Source organism: Homo sapiens, chromosome 5 (assembly GCF_000001405.40).
Source record: "Homo sapiens chromosome 5, GRCh38.p14 Primary Assembly".
Lineage (NCBI taxonomy): Eukaryota > Metazoa > Chordata > Mammalia > Primates > Hominidae > Homo > Homo sapiens.
In genome coordinates this window covers 50,668,976-50,696,742 of record NC_000005.10, presented here as the reverse complement: position 1 = coordinate 50,696,742, position 27,767 = coordinate 50,668,976, and the positions used below count along the sequence as shown (strand labels likewise).

Genomic DNA, 27,767 nt, shown 5'->3' with positions numbered 1-27,767 from the left:
GAAACCTGAGAAGTGATTAGGGATGGCGTGAAACAAACAGAACTAGGAGAAAGTGATGTCAGTTAAGTCAAAGGAAAAAAAGACTTTTCAAAATGAAGATGCAAAATAGAAGGTGGCCTATCAGAGTAGTAAGGACAAAGGACAGATATCAGAGCAAAGGGAAAATGAAGAGCATGAAACGCTGTTGCAGAGGGAAAGAGCAAGAGAAGTTACTGGTGGGTAACAGGATCCTACTTCGTATTTAGATAATATAATTATGGCTGCCTTATCATTTTCATCTTTCCAAACAAAGATTATGGGCTTCTGGAATGAGGATTATTCAAGAAATTTAATGCATACTTCCACACACAATAAACTATGGTACCTTGGGTGGCCAAATTTAATTCAAAACTTGGGACAATTTTTCAGTTACCCAAGTTTACACTAATCTTAGCATAAAACTTTTAGCTTTCACCTAGGTAAAGATTAAATAAATTCTGATTTAATGTATTTTCTTTTTGCTATTTCTGTAAAACAGCCCAAACAGTCTAAAAAGTGATGATACACTAATAAAAGACAGATTAACCCACAGAAAGAGCTATGGTATAGTTTGACTCGCCTTAATCCTAGGCTACATTATATATCTAAGATTAATTAGATGTAACTGTTTCTCTTTTCTTCATTAAAAGCAAAATCTTTACTCTCTCCTTTATAAGCATTAAATTATGTTTTCACAGTGCTGGTGTACAGATTTAACTTTTAAGATTTACATAATTCCTAACAATAAAGAGCATATATTTCTTTCACCTCAAAATCATGTCTTTGTTAAAAAATTAACAGTAAATTCAACTCAAATATATCAAGATAATGCATAGAGGAGAATGATTTTGAATTCATCCAAGTGAAAAATTTTGAAATTTATAATTCCCATAGCAGCTCTAAATCACAAAAACATTGTTCAGGTACACTAAAGCTTGAATTTTGCATATCCAAATGTAAATCAAATTGCAGTGCTTCAAGGAATAATAACTCCATACCTGATGAGTTATTTTTAAATCCAAATAATTTGTTATTAGAAAAAAATTTAGAAATAGTCCATTACTGAACTATACAATGAAGCAAGGATGCAAATATTAGAATGAAATCGAAAAATAATCACAGGATATAAATGACCATATTTATTTTTTAAAAGAGCCACAAAAGATTAGTTTATATAACTGTTTTGCCCTTTTATTGACAATAATCATTAATTAGTGCACATTATTAGTACAAATTACGGCTTTTATGAAGTGTGTCTAATAAATACTCAATTAGCTAAGCTGGTCAGACTCCAACAATCATTTACAACCTAGTTCATTAATTTAGGAGGCCTGAATGACTAAGTATGAACCTGCACTAGGTTGTTACTTCAGTAATTTTCTAAGCATTGGGTGTGCTACATCAGGTCATGGTGACACCTACAGTTCAGATCTACATGATGACTGACAATTCAGTATTATTACCAAGGCACTTGCTACAATGCAATATTCTCATTCCATTTCTACACTTGGGAGCTGATTACTTCATAGATTCTACATAGCCAGTATGATGGTTAATATTAAGTGTCAACTTGATTGGATTGAAGGATGCAAAGTATTGTTCTTGGGTGTGTCTGTGAGGGGGTTGCCAAAGGAGATGAACATTTGAGTCAGTGGACTGGGAGAGGCAGACCCATCCGAGTCAGTCTGGGTGGGTACCATCTAATCAACTACCAGCACGGCTAGAACAAAGCCGACTTGCTGAATCTTCCAGCCTTCATCTTTCTCCTGTGCTGGATGCTTCCTGCCCTCAAACATCAGACTAGAACATTACACTCCGAGTTCTTCAGCTTTTGGACTCTTGGACTTACACCAGTGATATGCTAGGGGCTCTCAGGCTTTCAGGCACAGACTGAAGGCTGCACTGTTGGCTTCCTTACTTCTGAGGTTTTGAGACTCAGACTGGCTTCCTTGCTCCTCAGCTTGCAGACAGACTATTGTGGGATTTCACCTTGTGATTGTGTGAGTCAATACTCCTTAATAAACTCCCCTTCATATATACATCTATTAGTTCCGTCCTTCTAGAGAACCCAGACTAATACAGCCAGGTACATGTGGTCCCAGTTTCTAGAAGGTAATATCTCAATGTGCACTGTCAGGCTCATAGTTAAAACTGAGGTTCTTAAAGCCACCCTAAGGAAATGCCACAAAATTTATAAAAGCAGGGCTGAAACCCTTTCACAAGAAATGTGGTTACAAGACCCCTTTAGCAAATGCTAATTAAACCTAGGAAAATAAAGAAAACATAAAAACATATTTAAATTCACTATCAAATAAATGCAAATTAAATAAATGCAAATTAATAATCAAATCAATATCAAATAAATGCAATTTAAAACTATAAGGAAATTCAACTTTGTGACTATGGAACTGACAAGGAATTAAAAAGAATTCTAATATCCCACACTAAGTCATGAGAGTACTGGCAGGAGTTGATGTCACTTCCATAAGGGCAATTTCACAACATGTGTCACAAGACTCAGAATTTTCACTTCTAGTAATATAGTATGAGTAAATAGACAAGTGCAAAAATATATAAGTACAAGGATCCTTGTTCATTGCAGGATACTGGAAGCAACATAAAATGTTCACAAATAGTTGTTTAAAACATAAAGAATGGTACAGAAAGAGGGTGTAGACAATTATTTACTGCTACTGTTAAGTAAAAAGTCTACTTGCAAGACACCATTTAGGGGTTTAGGATAATCCTTCTTTATACATAATAAATAAAAGTATGAGAGTGAGAGAAAGCAAATGTGTGTTTGTGTGTGTACAGAAAAAAGGGAAAGGACATATATCAAATTGTTAACACATTATCTTTGGGTGCTTATAATTATATAAATTAATATAAATTAATAATTGATTGTATAATTTAATCATACAATTAATCCACATAACTCAATCATATAATTAATCCACATAGCTTAATTATATAATTAATTTATATGATGTGATTATACGATTACATTATATAATTCAATCAAATGATTAATTTACATAATTTAATTTACATGATTGATTTCTGTGACTTAATTATATAATTAATGTATGTAATAGATTAATATAAATTATATAAATTAAGTGCTTAAATTATAGGCAGTTTTACTTTCTTTATATCCTTCTGCATTGTCATAACAAGTATGCATAACTCTGAAATCATGGGCAATGTAGACATGAATATAATTTAAAAACCTTAGAATTAGTCTATATTGCCCTAGATGCTAAATTGAACTTATGCTTCTATAAATGTTATGTTCTATCTTGAGATAGGGTCTGACCTCCTAAGACAATGGACACAATCAGCAACACCTGGAGAGGTTTAATTTCCTAAGAGCTTCAGAACAAGGCTTAGATTCAAAACACTGGCTAAATGTCATTCATTCTATGCCTGGGAATCCTCTGACCTGCAGTACTAAGGGTAAGAAAAGGCTGAGCCATAGTAGCTAATTCCCATACTAATTCAAACTTTACTTGAGGCAGGCCATTTAAAAATTGGTAGGGGAATCTATGGCCAGTTGTTATAAATAATTAAGGCAAGAAAAAAAGCATTTAAAATACACCTTTCAGTTATCAACTGATAACTTGGCTTAAAATCTTCCTTTGGCATTTTAGTTTGGTAATCATTTTAAGAACTTTGATGTTTAACTTATATGAAGAATTCCTAAGGGAGGTCCTCAACACCCTTATCATAAAAATTTTAAGAACTCCTTTCCTGAGCTCATCATTTGGAAACACAGATAAAAAAATATAAAGTCCTGCTTCAAAGAACTCTCTGTTGAAGTCTCTCTCAGTGAAGAGATGAATGAATACAGGCAGGAAAACCAATAATTATACATAAATAATTGTTTTAAGTGCTGTAACAGATCACACAAGGTGCCAAGGAGGTACAGAGTGCCTCAAAGACAGAGGAATGATGAGCCGGGTGGGCCTACTGAAGCTGAAATTTAAGAGAGTAAGATTTAGTCTAATGGATTAGAGGGAAAAAAAGTATTATTTTTTTACCAGCCTATGAAATCAAGAAAAAGAAACCATAGGGACAAAGAGAATTCTCACAGGTAGGGTTGTCTAAATGAGGTCCCAAGAGCATTCATTCCTTCATTCAAAAGCCTTGACTGAGTACTTCTTTAAGTCAGGCACTGTACTAACAAAGAAGAAAAAAAAACACTGTGCTAAGAAACAAGACCAAAAAAAAGCTTCTTTCTGCCTTTAAAGAATAAAAAAGACAAAGTCATAAATAGAAACTTTTAATCATGTGATCACTATCCCCAGATGACTAAGTATTAGGGGCTATGATAGCTCCTAGAGGAGATGTTTAATTTTGAGAGTCTTAGGGAAGACTTCCACTGAAATAAACAGGAATAGACAATGCAAAATAAAAATATATTAAAAATTATAAATAATATGATAGAGATTAGTGAGTTAAGGCTGGAAAGGTCAAGAGATGCCAGATCACGAAGACACTTTTGAATGACATGACAAAGATTTTAGATTTCACTCTGCGGTCAATAGAATAACAAGGAAGGGCTTTAAGCAGATGAAGTAATATGATCAGATTTATATTCAATAAAGATAATTTTGCTATGGGTTGAATGGAATAGAATGAAGCACAACTGGATAAAGAGAGACTAATCTGGAAAAGGCTTTTGAATAGTCAAAGTAAGAAACGGTGGTGGTGGTTGGAATTAAGGTAGAGGAAGTTGGAATGGAAAGTAGCCACCATTCAGTATCAGCCATTTGACTGATATGATAACAAATAGTTAAAATCATTAAGAACGTGGTCATTAATTGTAAGTAGGGGCTGTGGGAGATGAAGACATCTTAGGTGCCACCAGGTTTTTCACATGCGTAATATGGGTAACTAATGGAGTCAGGCACTGGCATGAGAAACTTGAAAGGTGAGTAGATGACGAGTTTCATTTTTAATATGCTGAGTTTGAAGATTCTTAAACTGTCCAGTTTGTGATGTCTAGTAGGCAGTGGATACACAGAACATAGATCTGAGCTGAAACACAGATTACAGAAGAACAACAGAGTTACAAAGGGTCAGGAATTTGGGGGATCTCTGGAATGTGGTGTAACCAACACAAGGTTGATGGAGATTTCCGGATGTATGGAGTGGGTAAAGATGAGGAAACAGAAGGTGTCATTAAATTACACTGTCATTTAAAATATTTAAATAGAAAGTGGAGTTCTATAAAAGGGGCCTAGGAATCAGAGATGTGAGGCAAAAACCAGGATTTCATCACAGCAGCCAAGAGAGGAGCGCACTTCCAAAAGGAGGGCATGATTAACCCCGTCTAAGGAGACATTCCACCAGTGAAGTAAAATGAAAGCTGCTTCAGTGGAGTCCTGGAGGCACTGGCAGACTGCTGTAAGGCTGAAGAGAAAACCTGAGGATGGACAGAAAAGAACAGAAACACTTCCATCTGAGAATCTGGTTTTGGAGGGGAGGAAAAAAGAAGCAAAGGGCAAATGGGGAAACCAGAGAGGTTTTACTTGTATGTTTATCGAATTTTATGTTTTTCAAGACAGAAAGAAGTTAGTGAGAAAAAGGTAAGTGAAAGGTAAGTCACGCAGTGGATTTGCGGTATCAGGCCTCAGCCAGAGCCTCCTTTCCAGTGAGATTTGAATAGAGGAAGAAACGATGATGAGGACATGTTAGGGTTGTAGGTATCTGGCAAGAAGTAGAAAGAGCTGCTACCTTTTGGATACTGACTTCTATATGAATTTCAATGTCATTTTGAAGAAGGTAGAGAAATAAGAAATTTGAGAAGTGTAGAGAAGGGAAGTAGAAACAGCATAGAGAACTACTATGGATAATAGGGAGAGAACTGAACAAAGAAAGAGAGTGTTTGTTTCCCACTATTTAACATTATTTATACCATGTATGTAGTGTCTGATATATGAGGGTTTGGCTGGGGATGGAAATCATGCATTTAAGAATATCAATTGCCACTGTTGAGTTTCTATCTCCAGAAATGCTATCAGTCTGGGCATAGGATTGGACTAGGTGAATAGATCTTTAGACATAGTTTTGCTAGATAGGTCCAATAAAAGAATAAAAGAACAAAGAAGCTGAGCTGCCATTGGCAAATGATGGAACACAGCTAAAAAAGGAAGAGGTAAAATTGAGAGGAAGTTAATAGGGTTAGTTGGAAGACTTCAAACTCGGCACCAAAGTCCTCAAAAAAGGAGGGAGAATAACCAAGAGTTTGGTAAAGACCAGCAAGAGGGAAGAGAGAGAGGGTGGCACAGCAAAATAGAACTTTAAAAGAGAATTTGGCACAGGATGAAAAATAAAGCAGCACTAGGGATCTCTCTTCCTCCTCCATACCTCTTCACAGTGGCTTTTCCAATTTTTTCTACTCTTAAGTTCTCTAATTCCTCTACCTTCTTCCAAAAAGAAATGGAGACCATCCAGTAGGAATCCCTTAACCTTTTTACTATCATACATAATTCACTGATCCTAGCTTCTAGTTGTAAGGAAAAGAGGTATGAACTTATGAGGAGCCCTCCTGAGAGGCTGCAGGAAGAAGGATGGCCTCAGGCACAGCTCAATCTTCACCTAAGGCTCAAACCAAAAAGCTGGAGTTTGTCTACTGGTTTGTTTCCTATGTTGCAGAGGAGAGAAAAGTCTCCCTTGTCCCCTTGGGTTCACAGAGAAGTAGAAGAGCAAGGGAATGAGAGAACAGAAATAGATGGATGATCAAAGAGCTTTAGCTGTTGAGTAGGAACCAAGAATGGACGTGAGGTACAGTGGAATGTTCCCAAAAATGCCAGTCCCAGCAGCCTTGGGCTGGAATGATAGTATTTCCAAAAGAACCCTCCAATAGAAAATACCTGCAATCCAGGTGCATGGTGGGACCTATGCCTCATTTAGAAGTTACCTAGATCTGTGGATTCCAAGAGACCCTTCTACCAACTGAGGAGGAAGACAAGAAAATGAATTAGATCCCATCAACCTCACGAAGTGTTCGGAAACTGCAACATTTTCTGGGTCATAGAAAAATACAGCATGGGTGATAACGTTCCCCAAATATTCCTTTCACTCCTCTTCACTGCAACCCTTACAGTCAGGTATACATGACTAATGTGAGTCCATGAAATGTGAGAGGAAGCAATGTGTGTCACTTTTGGGCTGAGGTAGTAAAAGACCCAAATGGAATTCCCCATTTTCCCTCCTTCCCTGAAATGGAGATTAAAGAGGGAGTGTTTCCAGATAATGTACATACAAGATGGTGGTTCTTCAATCTGACTCCCCAAGTGATTAAATGGAGCAGAGGCCTCAACCAGCTGAAGATGGATACAGAGAATAAGAATAAGAAATAAACCTCAGTAGAATTAAGTGGCTCTAATTTCACAGCTATTTGTTTTTGCAGCATAGCCTAGGCTACAGTTAGTAAATGTAGAAAACTTCCATGTTGGCCAAGAAAATCAAAGCTGTGACAGCTAACAAGAGTGGATGGTGTGGAAAAAAGGACAGAGAACACAGTTTACAGTTTCAAAGAGCCCATTCCTAGAAAATCACACCTCAAATAACAGGTGGATTAAGGATCTCTTTCCCAGAAAGCCAGAGGGTCAAAACAGCAGCTTAAGAGCCCCCAGGAACACTGTAGCATGCCCTAAATAACTCACCAAAAAAAAAAAAAAAAAATCAAAAAAAAAAAATTCATTCATATTTAAACATCTTGTCAAATGCCAGCCCATTTTCTGGCACAAACAAGGAAGCAGTACTCAGTGATACTATCTGTCCAAGATCAAGTGCACTCAAACCATCATTTTCTTGTCTGAGTAGCTTGGGCTACCGCTCAACCAATAATACATCATAATGTTCTTAATTTTCTAAACTGACAAGGCTATATAATAAAAGGTACAAAATGTACATAACCACTCATCATAGGTAAGTGGCAGGTTTTCTTTCAGTAAAGAATTTAAATACTATAATACTTCAAGAGTCAAGCTAGACTTACTTTCTAGGTTTTATATTAATGTTAATTGAGAACTTTCATAATTACTTCCTATATAAAGATGAGAATTATCTGACTTTGAATTTCTATCAAATTAGTATATATTTTAAGCCATATATGTGAGTTTGAAACCTACATCAATAATACCATGTAAGTTCTAAATGAATTGTAGAATATTGTCCAAAAAATTAAAATATTTACATATCATTATCCCCACCACATGCATTGGAAGGAGTTTGTTCATTATGACATATTCTGGTATATTTCCCAGTGAATCTCTATCTCTTGTGAAGTTTCTTCTTATGCAATGCCTGCTCACCAGGGATCTGTGAGGTTCATGATAGAAATACTAACAGCAGTTACTGAAGTCTGAGCTGACTTGTGTTGCAGATGCTGTGTGTCAGAGTGAAGTATTCTTATACAGTAAGTACATTTACTTACTTAAGTCCAACTGTTCCCTGGTTTTCCAAGGTCAAGGAAAAAAATGAGTTATAAAATGGAAATAGAAAAACTCTCTCTGGTCGGCTTTGTGGTTATTGTACCAATATCTATTTCTTAGAAATTTTCCTGCTAGCCAGGTACAGTGGCTCACACCTATAATCTAGAGCTTTGGGAAGCCAAGGTAGGAAGATCCCCTGAGCCTAGAACTTCCAGACAAGCCTGGGCAACACAGCAAGACATCATCTCTACATAAATTAAAACACAGCCAGTATGGTGGCACACATCTGTAGTCCCAGCTACTTGAGAGATTGAGGTGTCCCACCTCAATCATCATTTGAGCCCAGGAGGTGGATGCTACAAGGAGACAAGATTGTACTTGATATGGTTTGGCTGTGTCCCTATACAAATCTCATCTTGAATTTCCACGTGCTGTGAGAGGGACCCTGTGGGAGGTAATTGAATCATGGGGGCAGTTCCTTCTGGTGCTGCTTTCGTGACAGTGAGTAACTCTCAAGAGATCTGATAGTTATTATACGGGGGAGTTTTCCTGCACAAGCCTCTTTGCCTACTGCCATCTATGTAAGATGTGACTTACTCCTCCTTGCCTTCTGCCATGACTGTGAGGCTTCCCTAGCCACGTGAAACTGTAAGTTCAGTTAAACCTCTTTCTTTTGTAAACTGCCCAGTCTGGGGTGGACTTTATCAACAGTGTGAAAACAGACTACTACAGTAAATTGGCACCAGTAGAGAGTGGGGGTTGCTGAAAAGATACCCAAAAATGTGGAAGCGACTTTGAAACTGGGTAACAGGCAGAGGCTGGAACGGTTTGGAGGGCTCAGAAGACAGAAAAATGTGGGAAAGTTTGGAACTTCCTAGAGACTTGTTGAATGGCTTTGACCAAAAACCTGATAGCAATATGGACAATAAAGTCCAGGCTAAGGTGGTCTGAGATGGAGATGAGAAACTTGTTGGGGACTGGAGCGAAGGTGACTCGTTACGTTTTAGCAAAGAGACTGGCAGCATTTTGCCCCTGCCCTAAAGATTTGTGGAACTTTAAACTTGAGAGAGATGATTTAGGGTATCTGGTGGAAGAAATTTCTAAGCAGCAAAGCATTCAAGATGTGACCTGGGTACTGTTAAAGGCATTCAGTTTTATAAGGGAAGCAGAGCATAAAAGTTCAGAAAATTTGCTGCCTGACAATGTGATAGAAAAGAAAAACCCATTTTCTGAGGAGAAATTCAAGCTGGCTGCAGAAATTTGCATAAGTAACTAGAAGCCGAATGTTAATCCCCAAGACAATGGGGAAAATGTCTCCAGGGCATGTCAAAGGTCTTCACGGCAGCCCCTCCCATCACAGGCCCAGAAGCCTAGGAGAAAATGGTTTCATGGTCTAGGCCCAGGGTCTCCATGCCGTGTGCAGCCTAGGGACTCCATGCCCTGCGTCCCAGCCACTGCAACCCTGACTGAAAGGACCCAAGGTATAGCTCAGGCTGTTGCTTCAGAGGGTGGAAGCTCCAAGCCTTGGCAGCTTCCATCTAGTGTTGAGCCTGCAGGTGCACAGAAGTCAAGAACTGAGGTTTGGAAACCTCTCTCTAGATTTTAGAGGATGTATGGAAATGCCTGGATGCCCAGGCAAAAGTATGCTGTAGGGGGCAGGGCCCTCATGGAGAACCTCTGCTAGGGCAGTGTGGAAGGGAAATGTGGGGTCAGAGCCCCCACACAGAGTCCTTACTGGGGCACCGCGTAGTGGAGTTGTGAGAAGTGGGCCACTGTCCTCCAGACCCCAGAATGGTAGATCCACTGACAGCTTGCACCATGTGCCTGGAAAAGCTGTGCAGACACTAAACACCAGCCTGTGAAAGCAGCCAGGAGGGGGCTACACCCTACAAAGTCACAGGGGTGGAGCTGCCCAAGACCATGGGAACCCACTTCTTGCCTTAGTGTAACCTCGATGTGAGACATGGAGTCAAAGGAGATCATTTTGGAGCTTTAAGATTTAACTGTCCTGCTGAATTTTGGACTTGCAGGGGGCCTGTAGCCCCTCTGTTTTGGCCAATGTCTCCCATTTGGAATGACTGCATCTATTCAACGCCTGTATCCGCAATGCATCTAGGAAGTAACTAACTTGCTTTTGATTTTACAGGCTCACAGGTGGAAGGGACTTTCCATGTCTTGGATGAGACTTTGGACTGGACTTTTGAGTTAATGCTGAAATGAGTTAAGACTTTGGGGGACTGTTGGGAAGGCATGATTGGTTTTGAAATGTGAGGACATGAGATTTGGGAGGGGCCCAGGGCAGAATGGTTTGGCTGTGTCCCTACCCAAATCTCATCTTGAATTTCCATGTGTTGTGGGAGGGACCCAGTGGGAAGTAATTGAATCATGGGGGCAGGTCTTTCCCATGCTGTTCTTGTGAGAGTAAGTTTCAAGAGGGGAGTTTTGCTGCACAAGCTCTCTTTGCCTGCTGCCATCCATGTAAGATGTGACTTGCTCCTCCTTGCCTTCTGCCATGATTGTGAGGCTTCCCAGGCCACATGGAACTGTAAGTCCAATTAAACCTCTTTCTTTTGTAAATTGCCCAGTCATGGGTATGTCTTTATCAGCAGCATGAAAACAGACTAAGACAGTACTCCAGCTTGGGCTACAGAAAGAGACCCTATCTCTATAAAAATAAAATGAAAAATGTTCCTGCTATTCAATACTATATCATATCTTCCTCAGGATAGTTCATTTGGGAATTGCTAAGTTTACTCCTGACTCTAGAGATGGGACATGGAATTTACACCTAAAATATCAGCTTCTGAAAGGATGTTCCCCCTCTGGATATGGAAAAGGAAGAACTGCAGGAGTTGTATGCAGCTGCCTTGCAATCCCGTGGGAAACAATGCTAGCTCACAGGAAAGCAAAAGCTGACTGTTGAAAAGAAACCAAGTCCTTGAAGACATTGTTAGGCCCCAAACCAATCAACCCAGAAACCCATTTACCACTGAATCTACAGTTAAATAAGCAAGAAAATCCCCTTTTATTTAATCCAGTCTGAGTTGGGTATTCTGTCATTAGCAAATGAAGGCATCCTGACATGTGGGAATGTCAAGACATACAAGCTCTTGTGCAGTTTTCCATGCATGGGGACAGTGCCCTGGCATTCCAGAAATCCTGGCTTACTTATCACCACTCTCTAATCAACTGCAAATAACATTTTAAAACTAAATGCAAAGAGAATGATCAGGAATATCATAAAATCTGCATTTCTTTAAAAAAAACAAAAAAGGAGCTTTACAGTGAAGTAGTCTCAAGCAACTGTTTTCTAAGTGGGACGGCTGAAGCAAGAGACCTTAAATCACTTGACTGTCTCCACGAAACAGAACTGAAGCAGAACCAAAAGTCCCCTGATAGCCTTTCAAGCACACCACCTACAAATACACCGTAATCCCTCATACCCCACATGCCACTTCAGGGAAAGGGACATGAGGCAGGAATACAAATATATACCATCTGTGACACTTTCTAAGCTCCTGACTTCAGAGTAGCCATCCTGATAATTATTTTTTAAAGTCCACGTATAAATATGCAAGTTAAGTGAGTTATAGAAATCATTCCAGATACTGGTTCACCAGTAACATCAGTTTAGCCCTAAATATTGTCATAAGTTCTCTGACAGGCTCATGTGATTTAAGCTGGTGCTCTGTCAAGACTAGACTTAGGCATTTTATCCTTTTTATGACATTATGTATGTTGAAGAGAATATATGAATATATTTTATATATATGAATATATATAAAACCTTCATTATCACATTATTCTCAATCCAGCATTTTTTCAGCCCCTGATTTCATATTAGTTCAGCATTCTTATATCTTTACAGATTTTCATCTAAGACTGCATTTTTATTGTTTTATATAATCAGCCCCCCTAAGATCAACATGTCCACATTTTTTGGCAAAGACAAAGGCTACTGATTTCAGGACCATTATTTTCCTTTTTCAAAAGCACAAACCCAAACTGAGAAATAAATCAAGAGAAATTCTCCTCTTTTCTATGCTAATTTAGAAGTCGAGTCTTTATTTCTTTTCAAACCCAAAGAGAATCAGACATACAATATGAATTTATCTACTTTCACTTGCTCAGACTGAGAAGAAAGATTAATATTTTCAGGCTGTTAGTCAAAACTGTTCATTCAAATATTATTTAATAAAATCCAAGAACCAGCTAAAAAGCCACTTAAGCTAAGAAACCTTCACCAGCCTCATAGGAAATTGTGTACAGTTTTATATGAGAATAGCCTATAAATGCTTACGAAAATGTCTAAGTTCATATCTTGGTAACTAACATTTTAATTCAATCTGCAGAATAATATATGCTTCTTTAGTGCTAAGATATGAATATTAGAGGCTTTCTTTCTTAAAATTTCTACTTAGCTATATTTTCACAAATAACTATATAATGTTAAAATTCTGCATGTGGCATAAAACATATTTTAACGGAGAAGGTAATGTGTAGGGAGTTTATTTCTGTTTGCTATTAGAACTTGTGTTTATTCTTGGTTAAAAAACTGCACTGATTACAATATAGAAAAAAACAAAAGTGTGTTGAATATCTCTTACAGTAGAAGATAAAGAGTAGTTCTAAATTTAGAAAGGAAAAATAACTACACACTGTGAAAATATGTGTCAGTGAGATGTTAATCAAAGATCAACTATTGCTGAGACCGGCAATATTAAATCCCTGCACAATTACTCATATTATAATGAGAATTTTAAAAAGAAAATATGAACACATAATGAAGGCAGAAGTCACTCTCATCCTTCATCTTTGTATTCCCAATTCAGGAAGCTGGTATAGTGTCTTCATTATAATTACTATTCAACAAACATTTGTAAAATGAATGAATAAGGAATGAATGATGAGAAAAACATCTCCCTGTCTCCTGGGAGTTAACTGCACTACTTTCTTTTAAATTTAATTAATCCTCAATGTCCTTGTCAAATAGCCAAAGGGAAAATGTATTTACATTACTCTGAATATTGATGGAATCTACAAAAAGGGTTAAACAACTTCCTCAAAGTAAATAAAATGTTCACAATCCAGCTAGGATAAAAGGATTTAAATCATTTCCTAGGTAGAGGGCTTCCAATTAGAGCCCCTGCTGCATTAACCATGGGAACTCATCTCACTCGCTTCATGATGGAGCCCTGAGTGTTGCTGCTAATCTGTACTCTACCATTCTAATGCTTTTAAGGTTCCTTTTCAGCCCTTCCTCCTCCTAATCCACAAATACCGAGACCAAGGCATTTTTTGGGTCAGTCCTAATTTCAAGCATTGTATCCTGCCCTCCCCAAATGTACTCACGCTTATTAGACCATATGTTCCTATATTAGTTCAGGAAGGGGGGAAAAAACGTTAATCACACTTGTATATAAGAGATCATAGAAAAACTGTTTACTAACCTGTGAAAATACCATTCATTCTCTGCTCACCTCTGGTCCACAGCTAAGCAATCAGTAGGATATAAATGTACCCTATCTTCACTATTCAGTACTCATAAGGATACTACTTATGAATTGGAAATCTGACACAACATTTACATGACCTAATTTTGAAAATTTAAAATAGTGTAAGGCCCCTAGGCTTAATTTTACAGGGGAAAGATTAAAGGGACACAAGCAAGCATATATTCTCTCTCTGTGCTGTGGGACACTGGTAATTTTTTTTTAACTTAAAATATTTGATACTTAAAATGTCAAACTTCTACATTTCTGCAGTAACAAGGTAGTTATCATATTGAATACCATTTCTTTCTCTCCAGTAAGTAGAGTTAATATTAGCACATGAACTGAAAATATTAAGTGATTTAAAAAAGTCCAAATGAATTCATTAAAATTTAGCTTGGCAAAATGTTACTTTCATGTTCTTGGTAGAAGTCCTTTTTATTTATAGTCAAATGAAATGAACAATTTACAAGCAAAGGAAATGGCATCAAATATTCGACACCCTGCCTCCCAAGGTGTATTGATTCACGCTTTTTGCTCAGATCTAGGTTTCTCCACTCAGGAAAAGTGGAGAATGTACTCATACTTGGGAAAACAAGTTTCCAATGGCACAGCTTTGATCAAACAGCAAAATTCTATCCATCTATGTATTGCCATCTGCCAATATGACAAATGGTCCCATGTGCAATATTTACACTGCATTGTAGCCAAACCTGTAAGTCAAAGGATATGAAATAATAGTAACTACACATTAAGCACATAAGAAAACGAAACAAACAAAAAGGTTTTAAACCAACCAAAAATATATCTTATTTTGGATGTTCTATACATTCCTACGTTCTCTCAGGTCTTTTGTGTCATCATGAACACAATTCTAACAAGCTTGATTATTTTATTTCCATTCACATATTACAAGCAACAAGCTGAAAAAGTAGAACAGGGTGTAGGGAGACAGGACAAAGTAGAGATGAGGGCTTGAAGTGCCCCTGACCAGTTGACAGCAACCACATGGAATAATGACTCATGTGCATTAATGATCACAATAAATGATATTTGCTTTTTTACCTAGTCCTTCAACTCACAGCTTAAAGAATTTCAGGTTGGAAGAAACCCTGTTCTGATTCTTGAGTCTCCTCTACAACTTCAGAGAGGACTTTCATTTTATTTTGGAGCAAATGCTCCACAACTAGTTGAAACTGGAATTACATTTTATATGAAGTTCCTAGATGATTTAAAGCTGTAAGAAGAATAATAATGAATCATAAGAAAACTTGCTGCTACAGATATCAAAAAGGAATGTTACCATCCCTCATGCTAATCCTTTTCATTTTAAATAAACAGGATCTAAAAAAAAATAATGCTTAGAAGTCCTAACCACATCAAGAATGCCTCAGATCAGTGACCCAAGGAACCTTCCAGAATGGATGAAATAGACCCAAAGCTGAATTCACCTAATTTTAGGGCCAAAAAATCCAAAAAACAAAACAAGGCCAAAAAAATCTTCAGATACTGGGAGAACAAATATCAATTGCTTAATTGTATCTTATGAAAACAATTTTTCAACATAAAACAAGAGATATTTAAGATTCATTAAGTTCTTGTCATTTAAAATTTTAAGAAAAATATTTTCTAATGGAATTACATATATTTGTATGATTCTTCTAGTTATATCCATGGTAATAAATACTATTTTTAGTTGGAAATAAAACCCATTTGTGCTGTATTACTAGGGAAAATATCTACATAAATTAGTTTTTAAGATAACTAAAGTCTATCTTTTGAATTCATAAGCATAAAATCTTAACCACTTGCAAAATTTCTAACACACTTAAGGTAGTCAGATGCCTTGTCAAGTAGGGTAACAAAAGTGATTTTCACCTGTTTGTTTTAATAACAGTGCATCGATTTTATGAAAATCAGGCATGCCCTTGGGTCCTAACAAAGTATACAAAGCTGAATGGATCTATGCCAAATATGCCAGATTTTACTTTCTTACTTGAGTCTGATTTTATACTTCTGTCCTCTTTCTTACCACATGGCTTCCAGCATCACTTACAAACTAACCCTTAAAAAGGAGAAGGCTAAGTTACCAACATTTGGAAGGCTTATGAAAGTGAAGCATACTTACAAGCCAGCAATGTTTTTATTTATGGAATGTGTGAGAACCATACACTTAAGCAAACTTTGGGGAATGAGAGTTGGGGAGAATCAACTCTTTTATTTGCTAATTGGTATTTCCTTTAAAAGATAGATTTCCTGCAGATTTTAACTGTGTTAACAGTTACTCTAGAAAAATTGGAGATTTGTGTGCATATATTTTATGTTGTAAACAGACACACACCCAGAGACACTGAGAGAGACAAATAGACAGTAAACAGAGGAGCACTAACCACAAACGGTTTACAAATGACCTCCGTACTCATTCACCCGTCTGTTCCCCACCTTGCCTTTTATAGCAACTATAGCAACAGCCATGAGAGTCATTGTGGAAAAAAATAAAATAAAATAAAAAAATCCTGGAAGCTTGTAAAGAACCTGAGCAAAGGGGAGGAAGTTGTGAAAAAAACGAATAAAGGGCACCGATCCAGAGTATTGAAGAAGGCAGAGTGGACAGCCTAGCAATGAGTATCTGGTACTCCAGTATCCTCTCCCACAGAATCTGTACAGCTTTCCATTTATGACAGTTTAAACTTAATTTAAATTATCAAACAGACACTTTCCTCAAACATATAAATCGTGAGGCAGTTCATTCAGGCTGTATGTATAAAGTTGTTCCAGCCACCTTTTTCTAACGGCTTCTCTATATGTTTTACATGGAGACAAAGAGAGATTTCCTTAGGACAATTTGACCGTAATTTAGAAGCAGGAAATGGGAAGTATTTGTATCTTCTTTGCCTAACTCACATTAGTTACTCAAGTAAGCATTTCTTCCGTTGTTGCATTTTCTTGATTACAAGTTTTATGTTTTCTCTAAAACACATATCAAAAGAAACTTCCTAAGCACTATGCAGGGGGAAGCCATGACATTTATCTGCCACTGTCAGCAGAAACATGAACTTAGCCCTCAACAGAATATTTCACTTCATTCTAGTGTCACCTCTGCATCACCTGCATTGGAGTCACCACTTGCCTGTTGGGTAAAACCAGGATGCGCCACTGAAATAAAAAGGGGTCAGACAATACAAGAAAAGCCAGTCGAAATTGCCAAATGTATCAGAATACACACAGGCTTTCTAAGGATATGGGAGGGTGGCCCAAGACAAAAGCTCTAGAGCCCACCCTGAAACAGGATTTTTGACTTCACAGAGAAATTATTTAATTTTCAATAACACAATTCAACTAAAGAAAGGGAAATACAAGGCTAAACAAATAAGAAATGGAGACAAAAACCCAACCTTTCAAATCTAAAGAAAATAATCTGTTTTAAAGACACAGGTGAAGATCAGGAACCCAAAACAGGAGAAAGGAAAAGCATTAACGCTGGCATCTGATAATAACGAAAAGTATGGAGTCTGGAGAATCGCTAGACTCTAAAAATTATAAAGGTTTAGACTTGGACTTTGTACACTGAAGAAAAGAAAACTGCATGCATTTATATTGATCAGTGTACACTATTGCTGCTTTTTAACTTTTGTGTATATGTAGGGTAGATTTTTTTTTTAAGTGAAAGCAAGTTTATTAAGAAAGTAAAGGAATAAAAAGGTGGCTTCTCCACAGGCAGAAAACCAGTGTAGTTTTTTATTAGAAATTGTTATTCAATAATAGTACATGTTACAAATAAATATCATTTTAAACTGAAAAAATTGTAGACTTTCAAATCAGTTAGGATGGTCACCCTACAAAAGGGCATTTTTTTCCCCCTTAGTCTCCTTGTTCATGTTGCTCACAACAAGAATTGGGCTAATGCTATGAATAGTAATAACAAACACTGACTTCTGTCAGGCCCTGTGCTGAACACTGTCTGCATATGTATAGGAAAGGGTTAACTCAGCAGGCCTTGTTTGCTCAGACTCTGTACATTTCCAAGAAAGGTCTGCCTTTAGGACTGGTCCTTGGCCAGCTCCTGGAGAATGAGCTCTCAGCTTTTAGAAAATTCTATCTGGTAAGAGTAGTTTTGCATGTCTCAGGTCTTGGGCCACAAAATATCAGTTTAATCCGATAGTTTATGTTAACAAGCGTGATTTATCGCAAACATAGATCTCTAATCTCCATTTCTCTCTCATATATCTATATTTATCTATCCATATATATGTACCTATATATATCAAATATGAAGATACATTTATAGCAATTGTATATCACAGAGAGACAGTATGAAGAGAGACATAGATATCCTTCATTTTAGAATGTTATCTTGGTATGTTTAAAAGGAAAAGCTTAAGATGTGTTGCAATTGTAGTATGAGTTTCAGGTATGTACATGTTATGTGTGTGTGACAGACACACACAAACACATTTCAAACATGTTTTATGTTTAAGCTCAATATTCAAACACAGAAATATAACATCAATTCTTAATATGTTTTATGTAAGTACTGCAGCAGCATTATTAAATATTGTATTTCTATGGTGATTGAAAATTAGTAGGCAGGGAATTTTTGTAATGGTTCTTAATAATTTTTGTAATAGTAAATAATTACTTTTTGTTTAGTATAGTTTTATAATCTATATATGAATAAAGTTGATATTTTTATTCATATAAAAATGTGATTTACTCTCATGTACTTATCTACATTCTAAAACCATAAGTTATCAATTTTAGTTCTGTGCCAAGGCACTTTTACTGAATAAAAATAATCAGCTAATTTTATATTTTCCTGATTCAAATGTATATGCCTGTATAATGTACAGGGTTTTTTTTTTTTAATTTCTGTAAATCAGAATATTCAGATGTTGAAAAAGTCTTTGCCTTCAGAAAGATACCTTTGAAATGTAGCATATCCCTAAATGCAACCCAGAGGCTGGCAATGTCAACATTTTTCTGTTTTAAAAAACCTCTTATGAAAACTATCGCCATACTAAATTTTTTACTTGCTGACGACTTACAGCTGGAAAGGATTCTGTACATGTAAGACATCAAATATTGAGGATACTGGAAATTTTAAATTAATGGCACAGAAAGTCAACAAAGGAAGTTCATATGAAATCAAACTAGCAATATGATTACAAAAAAAATAAGTTTAAAATTTTTCTTGGCCCCAGTCTCATCATTTCTGAGCCAAATACAATTCTCATTGAAATCACCTAACTGAAACTGAAATCACCATTCTAGGCTGGTTTTCCCATAACGATGGACTGCTCCAAAAAGAAAAATCAAGAAAGAATTTGTCTCACAGTGAATTATTCAAACTTTGTCTTAGTTAACTAAAAATAAAATCTGACTGTTAACTACAGAAATCATTTCAAATTCTGTGGTGATAATAAAGTAATGACCGCTTTTCAGCTGGAGGGACTAACTTTTTTTTTTTTTTTTTTGCTGCATATCTAGCTGTGATGCATTTTAATGAGAAATGATGACTGCATCAGCTTATATCCATGGAGCAGATTTTAGCATTCAGCTTAGGTCTCCCAGTCAATATCTACGAGTCTCTTCTTAAGGAGATCAATGACACAGATACATACAGACTAACAAATGTGATATCAACAATCAAGAATTCACTCCGTTAAGATTTTGCACACTGATTTCCACACAAGAAACCTAGAATTTACTAGATTCTTGTGCCTGTGAGGCTCCACTCGTTTTCCTGAATCACAAAAGCTACAGAGTATTTAGATAGAAATATACCTACTCTTAACATGAACCATTTTAAGTATATGTATTACTGTGTCCACAGGAGTACACTTTAAAGCAGGGACTTCACTCTTCAATCTCTCCAATCATCTGTTACCTAAAGTGGCATGTGGTTCCCTAAAGCTTAATAACTGACATTGCCTTAAAAAAGGGGTTTGCTTCCCGACTAATGTGGAAAAAGTCTGAGAAATGATTTTAAATCTTTCACTAAATTTCTCATTTGGTCACATGGAGGAAAATGATTTCACCAAATAGATACTCTCATTGATTTTTTAATGTAATTTATCAAAGAAATGAAATATTTAGACAAATTCCAGATTTCCCCCACCACGAGCTTCTCTGAAAGTACACTCCAACATAGACTGCTCACTAAGAAGCTCTACTGCAGTCAAAGTGACCGAATTTAAGAGGACATAATGAGTACTTCTGCTACACAGAATCATTATCCATCTCTAACACTTCCCTATGAGACGGAAGACGGACTTCTAATCAGGTACCAGAGAGGGCTCTGCCAACTTCAGGGCTTTGATGAATAAGAAAGGTTGAGAGCCCTTAACATAAATGAATTCAGTATAACTAGTGAGAGAGTGAGAGAACCAGAGAAATACACCCTCATGTAGAAAAGTTAGGGGCATGAAATGCCAAATGCCAGTTAACCAAAGCTTTCTTTGTCATAAAGCAACTTCTATAAAAATTGCTGAAAATAAATTCTTCCCGGCTCAATATGAATCAGTAATTTCCATTTCTATTACACTGTTGTTTACCCAAAAACTATTTTTAATGAATAAGACTCAGAGTTTGCCAAAGTGTTTTCCGCAAAACAACTGTTTTGAGATACTCCAGATCTGTAATCAAGTAAGTCTGAAAAACCCCAAATACTTCACTCACATCTTGGATATGCATAAAGCACACTAATATATAACATTCTAAAAAGCCAATCATTAAAACTGTTTTATATTGTTTAAGCATTTCCTAGACATATTTGGCTACAAATCTAATATCTAATTAAACAGTTTGGGAAATGCCATCACATAATGTAGGAATATTACTAGTCATTTAAGAAACTAGAAATATTTACTATATTCTAGGCAGTTGGCTAGGAGTTGGAGTTCTAGTCTCTAAACAAAATACTGACTTATTTCTGCGACTTTTTTTTTAATGTGACATCACTCTTTTAAGCAGCTCTGTGCTTAACAATTTTTTTTTCCTGGTTTGTTTTCCACTTTTGTCTGTACTTTATTCCTTCACAGATGTGAAAGGCTAACAAATGTAAACTAATTATATTAATCAGCCTCTGCCTTGGTTCTACACTTCAAATACAGTATATATTCTATCAACAATTCTTGGATAATAACAACCTGTACTTGTTTTTTAAACAATAAAACAGGCCGGGCGCCATGGCTGGCTCACGCCCGTAATCCCAACACTTTGGGAGGCCGAGGCGGGCAGATCACCTGAGGTCACCTGAGTTCGAGACCAACCTGGCCAATATGGTGAATTCCCGTCTCGACTAAGAATACAAAAAAATTAGCCGGCCGTGGTGGTGTGTGCCTGTAATCCCAGTTACTTGAGAGACTGAGACGGGAGAATCGTTTGAACCCGGGGGGCGGAGGTTGCAGCGAGCCAAGATCAGGCCACTGCACTCCAGCCTGGGCAACAAGAGCGAAAACTCCATCTCAAAAATAAAATAAACAATAAAACAATGATGAAAACACAAATAACTACAGCACTTCAGAGTTAGTTGACAAATCCACCTTTTCAATCTACATTTCAAAATGTTCAGAAAGACACCATCCTAGGGGAAGTCAACCAGCAGCAACCTCTCTGCTAATTTTTGTACACAGAAACTTGACCTGACTGCACAAAGGTTTCAATAGATGTCTCCCTCTAAAATTAATATTGAATGATTTGTCATCTTCCATTTAATACCAAGAGGGTATCAGCCACAAACTGAAATATCACTCATATGCAAATAAATAACATTCAAGACTTTTGTCATTGTGGTTATTAATCTTGTAATGGATGGACATAAATCTATTTACATTCTCATCCTATCCTCAAATTTCACTATCCTCTCCTCTTATTCTTACTTTGTTCTACTCATATTCTCACTCTATCCTCCTATGCGTAAAACGTTATGTATTCTAATGAACAGAGATGTCATTCGTGGGCAAGGAAAAAATACAATGAACTGCTCTTTGTGATAAAAACCATGATCTTGACACAGATGTTATCAATCAATAAACTTTACACAGCTTTACACTAAATTAATACAAACTGTTGATGAGTGGGCGGGGGGTGGTCACTAAGCAAACAGAAGCATGTAGATGTTAGGAAGCATGAGAAACATGTATCAGTGGATAGGGAAGGCAGCTCTCAAAGGCCAAGAATGTTAAGTTTCAGGTCTATATGGAAAAAGCTGTGGTCACATTTGAAGGCTTCTGAACAGATGAATGATTAATTTCATGCTTAAAGAGTTCAGGTGTAAATAAACTGGATGGATAAGAAACTCAAAATCAAGAATTTTAAGACACTAGGTTAAGGCGATTGATCTAAGTCAAAGCCAACAGGGCATGGGCTAAATGTTGACATGGGATGGGATGAAGAGGCCAACAGTGTTTCAAAGTAGAGGTTGGCAGAGCTTCAGGAACCAGAAGAGGAAGACTTGAGGTGAAATCTGAAACTGTAATCCCCATACCGGGCTCAAAAGATGTGATACTGACTAGGAAAAGGCTGGAGACAGAAGCTTCTTTTAAAGAGCTAAGAAGGGATTGTTTTAATGTGCTGGGGTTGAGGTGAAAATGACAAATACTCAGGTGGAAGTGTCCACCATTCAAGTAGGATAAATTGGAACAGAAAGCCCAACTTATGTCATGGTGAAATGAGGATAGTAAGTCTTGTTAATAAAAACACATCTTACTAGTCTTTCCTGGGGAACACGAAAGATGGAATTTCAGAAATTTAGAGAATGAAAAAGGAAAGATTACAAGGCAATAAGTTGATTAAAATAGACTAAAATAATCAGTGGCAGCTATCTTAAAGCAAGATATATCTTCTACAGCACAATCTACCCAAATGCAAATCTGGGCAGATAATTACAAAATATTTTTAGGATTGATAAAATTTCAGCTATATGTCTTTTTAAAAATGCTGCAGAGAGAAATGATGGGAAATTTACATGGATTTGCCAAATGTTTGCATAAGGATTCCACAGCCAACGTACATAATTTTCCAACTATTATGGTTAGCACTGGGCTCAGGCACTACCTTTGCCAACCAGCAGATTTTCAGTATTGCCCCTGGCAGACATCCCATTAGCAATCTCTCCCCATTCCCAAACATTCCCAACTATTCTAGCCATGCCAATTCAACCAATGTCCCTTAAGTCTTACATAAACATTGACTTACACTGAAATGTATCCTATGGCTCTTACTAACTGTAACTTACTTAAATCACCCAAGCCTCTGTTTTTCCTGCTATAAAACGTAAAACAGCTGACAAAATACTTATTTGTGTTTTTTGGAAACACGGGATAAAGCAAGGCAAGCAAAGAGAACAGCAGAGACGATGCTTAATAAATATCACTATAGGATCACCTTAATCCATGAAGAAAATGGAGTTTAAATTTTAATACAAAAAAACTCAATAAAGTTATACTTATGTTAAATTGGTGGTTATTTTAGGTCAGTGGTTTTAAAACTCAACAATGAAACTGTTTTCAAAAAGAGTTGTTATACAGAACAGAAAAAAGCAGCTGCAATTTTAAAAAAGATATGAAGACCCAGATTCTCACTAACTCATTCAGCTCCCTTCACACTCCCTCCCCACAGCCACCCCAGCTCCTGAGGCAGGTTCCCAGGACTCCAAGGAACACACTTTTAAAAAATCAATATTTTGAATATATAATAAGTGATATAACATAAAAGTATGGTGAGAAAGTCCCATTGCCAAGAGAAATATGTTAATTTTTTATTTAAAAAATCATCACTGTTTTCATTGTGACATCTTGAAGAACACTGAATGGCTTCAAAGTAACTGTATATGCCAAGATTTCTGGAGTGGGCACGTCTGATCTTTCATAATGAAAATTGACAAACCTTTTTAAGGGGATAGCATTGCTTCTTCACCCTCCCCCTCCTCACCCCTGCACACACATACACTTCTCCTTTCTGGGGAACTCCAAAGAAAACAAAGGCCCTTTAGCAATCAAGTAGATTGTCTCTCCTGATGGCATCCCATGAGTTATGGAATTACACACTGCGGGCCCAGGTGGATTAGGGCCCCTAGAAAGTTTGCTTGATCAACAGAGTGCTGTTGATTTTTTCAACTGAATTAATTACCCTTGGAGTCCAAACTCTCCACTGTGTCACAGTCCTCATCACGCCCTAGTATCTTAAATATTGCATTATCTGTCCCCTAAAAGTATTTGCACATGTGACCCAGAGAAGTGGACTTATAACTTGACTAGGCAACTTCTGTCACACTGGATTCGTATGAAATTCCACTGCAAGTGACATCACCAGATTGGGGACCCTGAAGTGTCTGAGTATCTTCTCCACATCTGGTCATTTAGGCCAGGAAATTCCTTCTTGTCTGCCAGGTCTTTTAGCATTCATTTTGTAAGTCATTCAACACCTACTTACTTAGAAGAATACTGGGCTAGACAGTGTGCTAGGGGCTGGGGAAACTGCAACGCATAGGAGAGAATTCCCATCTCCAAGAGGCTCACAGTCAAACAGACATAAATGGGCGATTACAATATACTGTAACGACATGGTTTTAGAAACACCTAGCAGAATCATACAGACGAAGATGCCAGGAAAGGCTTCTCAGAGAATCTGGCTTAGCAAATATCTTAACAAAGAGGGCTGAGCAGGGATGAGCCAAAGGAGAGGATGGAAAGCAGGTTGTGGGTGAGTTTTCCAGGCAGCATGTGCAAAGGCTCAGGAGAAAGAGGAAGGAGCCTGTGCTTTAAGGAATATTCCATTACTATTATTAGTGTCACGCGTGCTATTTATCTAGACGGAAGCTCCTGAAACAAAAAGGATACACTTCAAAAGATGCCAATATATCCATGACCACACAAAAGAGTGTCCAGTCATATAATAAAGGGTGTACATATGCAGGCAACACACATCCTGCCAAATATTAAATTTCTAATTTTATTATAATTTCTAATAAAACATTAGCTTTATTATTATACAGAGTCATACTCCTTAATTGGGAAACTCTCAACTTAATAAACATTCTTTAGTCTCATGTCTTTTCTAAAGGAAAGAAATTAATGTTATATTCTTGGGTGAAAAAAATGTGAGGTCTCAAAAGAGTATTAATACAATTTGGGGATGCATATATATTTTATATGTATATAGACACATAAAAATCTAAAAGAATAAATTTTAATATGTTAACAGAAGACAGAAGTCATGTATTTTTTACTTTCTTCTTTTTGGCGTATTTCTTCTTCTAACTTTTTTTTTATTTTTTTTTTTTACAAAACACAATTCTTATTTGTGTACTTTTAAAACCTCAGAGTTATACTTTCACAATACATTCCTGGCTGAAAGTTCACACTCGGAATTCCAGAGCAGTCCATGGCCAGGCCCACTGGGCTCCACTTGCTCTCTCCTTGGCTTTGGTAACCACTGGCCCCAGGGACTCAGCCTGCTTTCCTATCCATCCCCTCAGTAGCTGTCACCATGCAGGTTACCCCTTCTGTTCCTTCTACCACTAACTCCATGTCTGACTGCAAGTGAAAGGAACAGAAGCCCAAACCTTTGGGTTTTAAGGAGTTTATTGCTAATCAGTAAAACAGAAAGAGACAGAAGATAAGTATGACAAAGTATAGGGAAGAAATGACTTTTGCCTAAACTTCCAAATTGTGTACAATTGAAGCCTCTGCTTTATAGTTCTTAGCACACCTCTCAAATAAGAAGGCAGTACTGGGAAGGCTCTGAACCTGTGGCAGAACCACTGATAGCTGTGGAGCTATTCCAAGGAGTCTGGGAATCAGGGGGATTATCAAGATCATTGCTAGAATAAATTAATCTTACCGTATATATAGCACAAGTTTTCAAGCATATGTAAATGCTACTTATAACCAAATAATTACACCTTGTTTTTCTTTAAACTGTAACTCTCAATTATGTCTCTACATAATTTTTTGATGGTAAAGTGTCTGCATGCTCAAAAAGCTTGAAAACACTAATGGAGAAGAAGGAGGTCTCAGGAGTGTGATGGAACAGGTTTACATGGCAGCTTCAACATTTAATTGATGAAAGTGACTATGTGTCTTAAACTCTCTGAGCCTCAGTTTGCACATCCAAAAGCAAGGATATAATTCCATGAACCTTTCCACCTCAAGTCCACAAGGCAGAATAGCAAGATGTTAACTGCCACTCTGAGGACCACCAAATAAAAGGACAATTTATTAGGCCACTTGCCAGCATGGACACAATCGCCTCTTGGCATTTCTTATTATCCACAGAAAAATTAAAAGTATAAATGTAGAACAAAATTATTATTTTTTTTTAATAGTAACATGTAAGATCAATCTTTGTCTTTAAAATACCATGTATCTCATTCTTGGAAAGCATCAAAAAGAAAACGGTATAGTAAGTTTTATCTACAACTTGAATTAAAATTATTCTTGAAATATGTTCTTAATGGTTAGATGAAATGGTAGTTAAATACAAATAGAGATAATCATATACTCTCTCTCCATAAGGCTCCCACCTCCTTCAATAAAGTCTAGTTCACCTAAAATGATACTATTAATTCAATATTACAAGTTGATAAGCACATTAAATCAAAACACAGCAAGATTATTTTAAGAGTCTGACTGAAATGTCAGGATAAGAAATAGATTAATAAATATTGGTTTATAATGTCGGTAATGAAAACAAATACGTTATTTTCAGAAAATAAAAGGTATTCGCCATTAGGTACAAATCATAAAGGGATTATCTACGGTTACTACACTGTAACAACTTTTTACATATTGTATTTTAGAACAAGCTTTTGAGAAGACAAAGCAACACATCAGCAGTTTAACCAATTGTCTTTCTCTTTTAACAGGCTGGTCTACATTAGATTAGATATAAAAGGCTCAGGTACACTTGTGCTCGATCTTAGCCAAATGGCTGAGAAACAGCCAGGTACATTTAAATCAGTGACAAAAGAAAACACTATCCTTTAATAAAATTACATAAAATAGGAAACATCTCTTACTTTAAGAGCAACCATGGTACTTCTTCCTATGGTGAAAACTGATGTTATCTCGCTTAATTATTCATCCCAACACCTGGCCTTGCTCCCTTTTCCACCTCTAGCTATGTTAACACTAGAGTCCAATAATTTGCTGATAAAGAATCTTAACTGCAGTATCTAACAGATCTTAGTGATTAAGCATATGATTTACCCTTTGATTGTACAGATAAGTAAACTGAGGCCAAAAGAACTGAGGTATCTTATTAAAAATCAGAAAGCTAGTTACTTGAAAAGCCCACCTGTCCTTCCTGTCCACATGTCTCACCAGAAAAACAGCAATAGTGAAAAGTCAACTCTGTTTTTAATGGGCCACTTTGTATATTTTAACTGTTAAAATAATCCAAGAGGATATTAGTCATATACGAAGATCCTTTAGATATAATGTGTAGGACCAGCGTTAATTTAATCAACCAAGTCTCCTCTCATTGAATTATTAATTCATAATTACAAAGATGACATTACAGTAAATTAAGAAATACTGTAATTTCATTCTCTCCCAAAAAGTATACACTTAAGTTTGGTGATTCACTGTTATATTTTCAACTAGTAAATCAATGTGCTAATTCTGGGGCTTAGGTATATTGCATATACTGGAATGATATTCACTTTAAATGTTTTGAGATGTATAATGTAATACAGATCCTACGTGTTTTTAAAAGTTCACATCAATTTCAAGCTTTTAAAAATGTATGTACACAAGAAAGCTTCTTTTGCAATTTATATGTTTATAAATGTTTCCATTAGCTAAGATAT

The 27,767-nt window shown here is 36.6% G+C and overlaps 1 protein-coding gene across 14 annotated transcripts in view; it reads right to left on the bottom strand.

Moving 5' to 3' along the window:
- PARP8 (poly(ADP-ribose) polymerase family member 8) overlaps nt 1–27,767 on the bottom strand; it is a 180,589-nt gene that overhangs the window by 149,777 nt on the left and 3,045 nt on the right. The window lies entirely within an intron of this gene.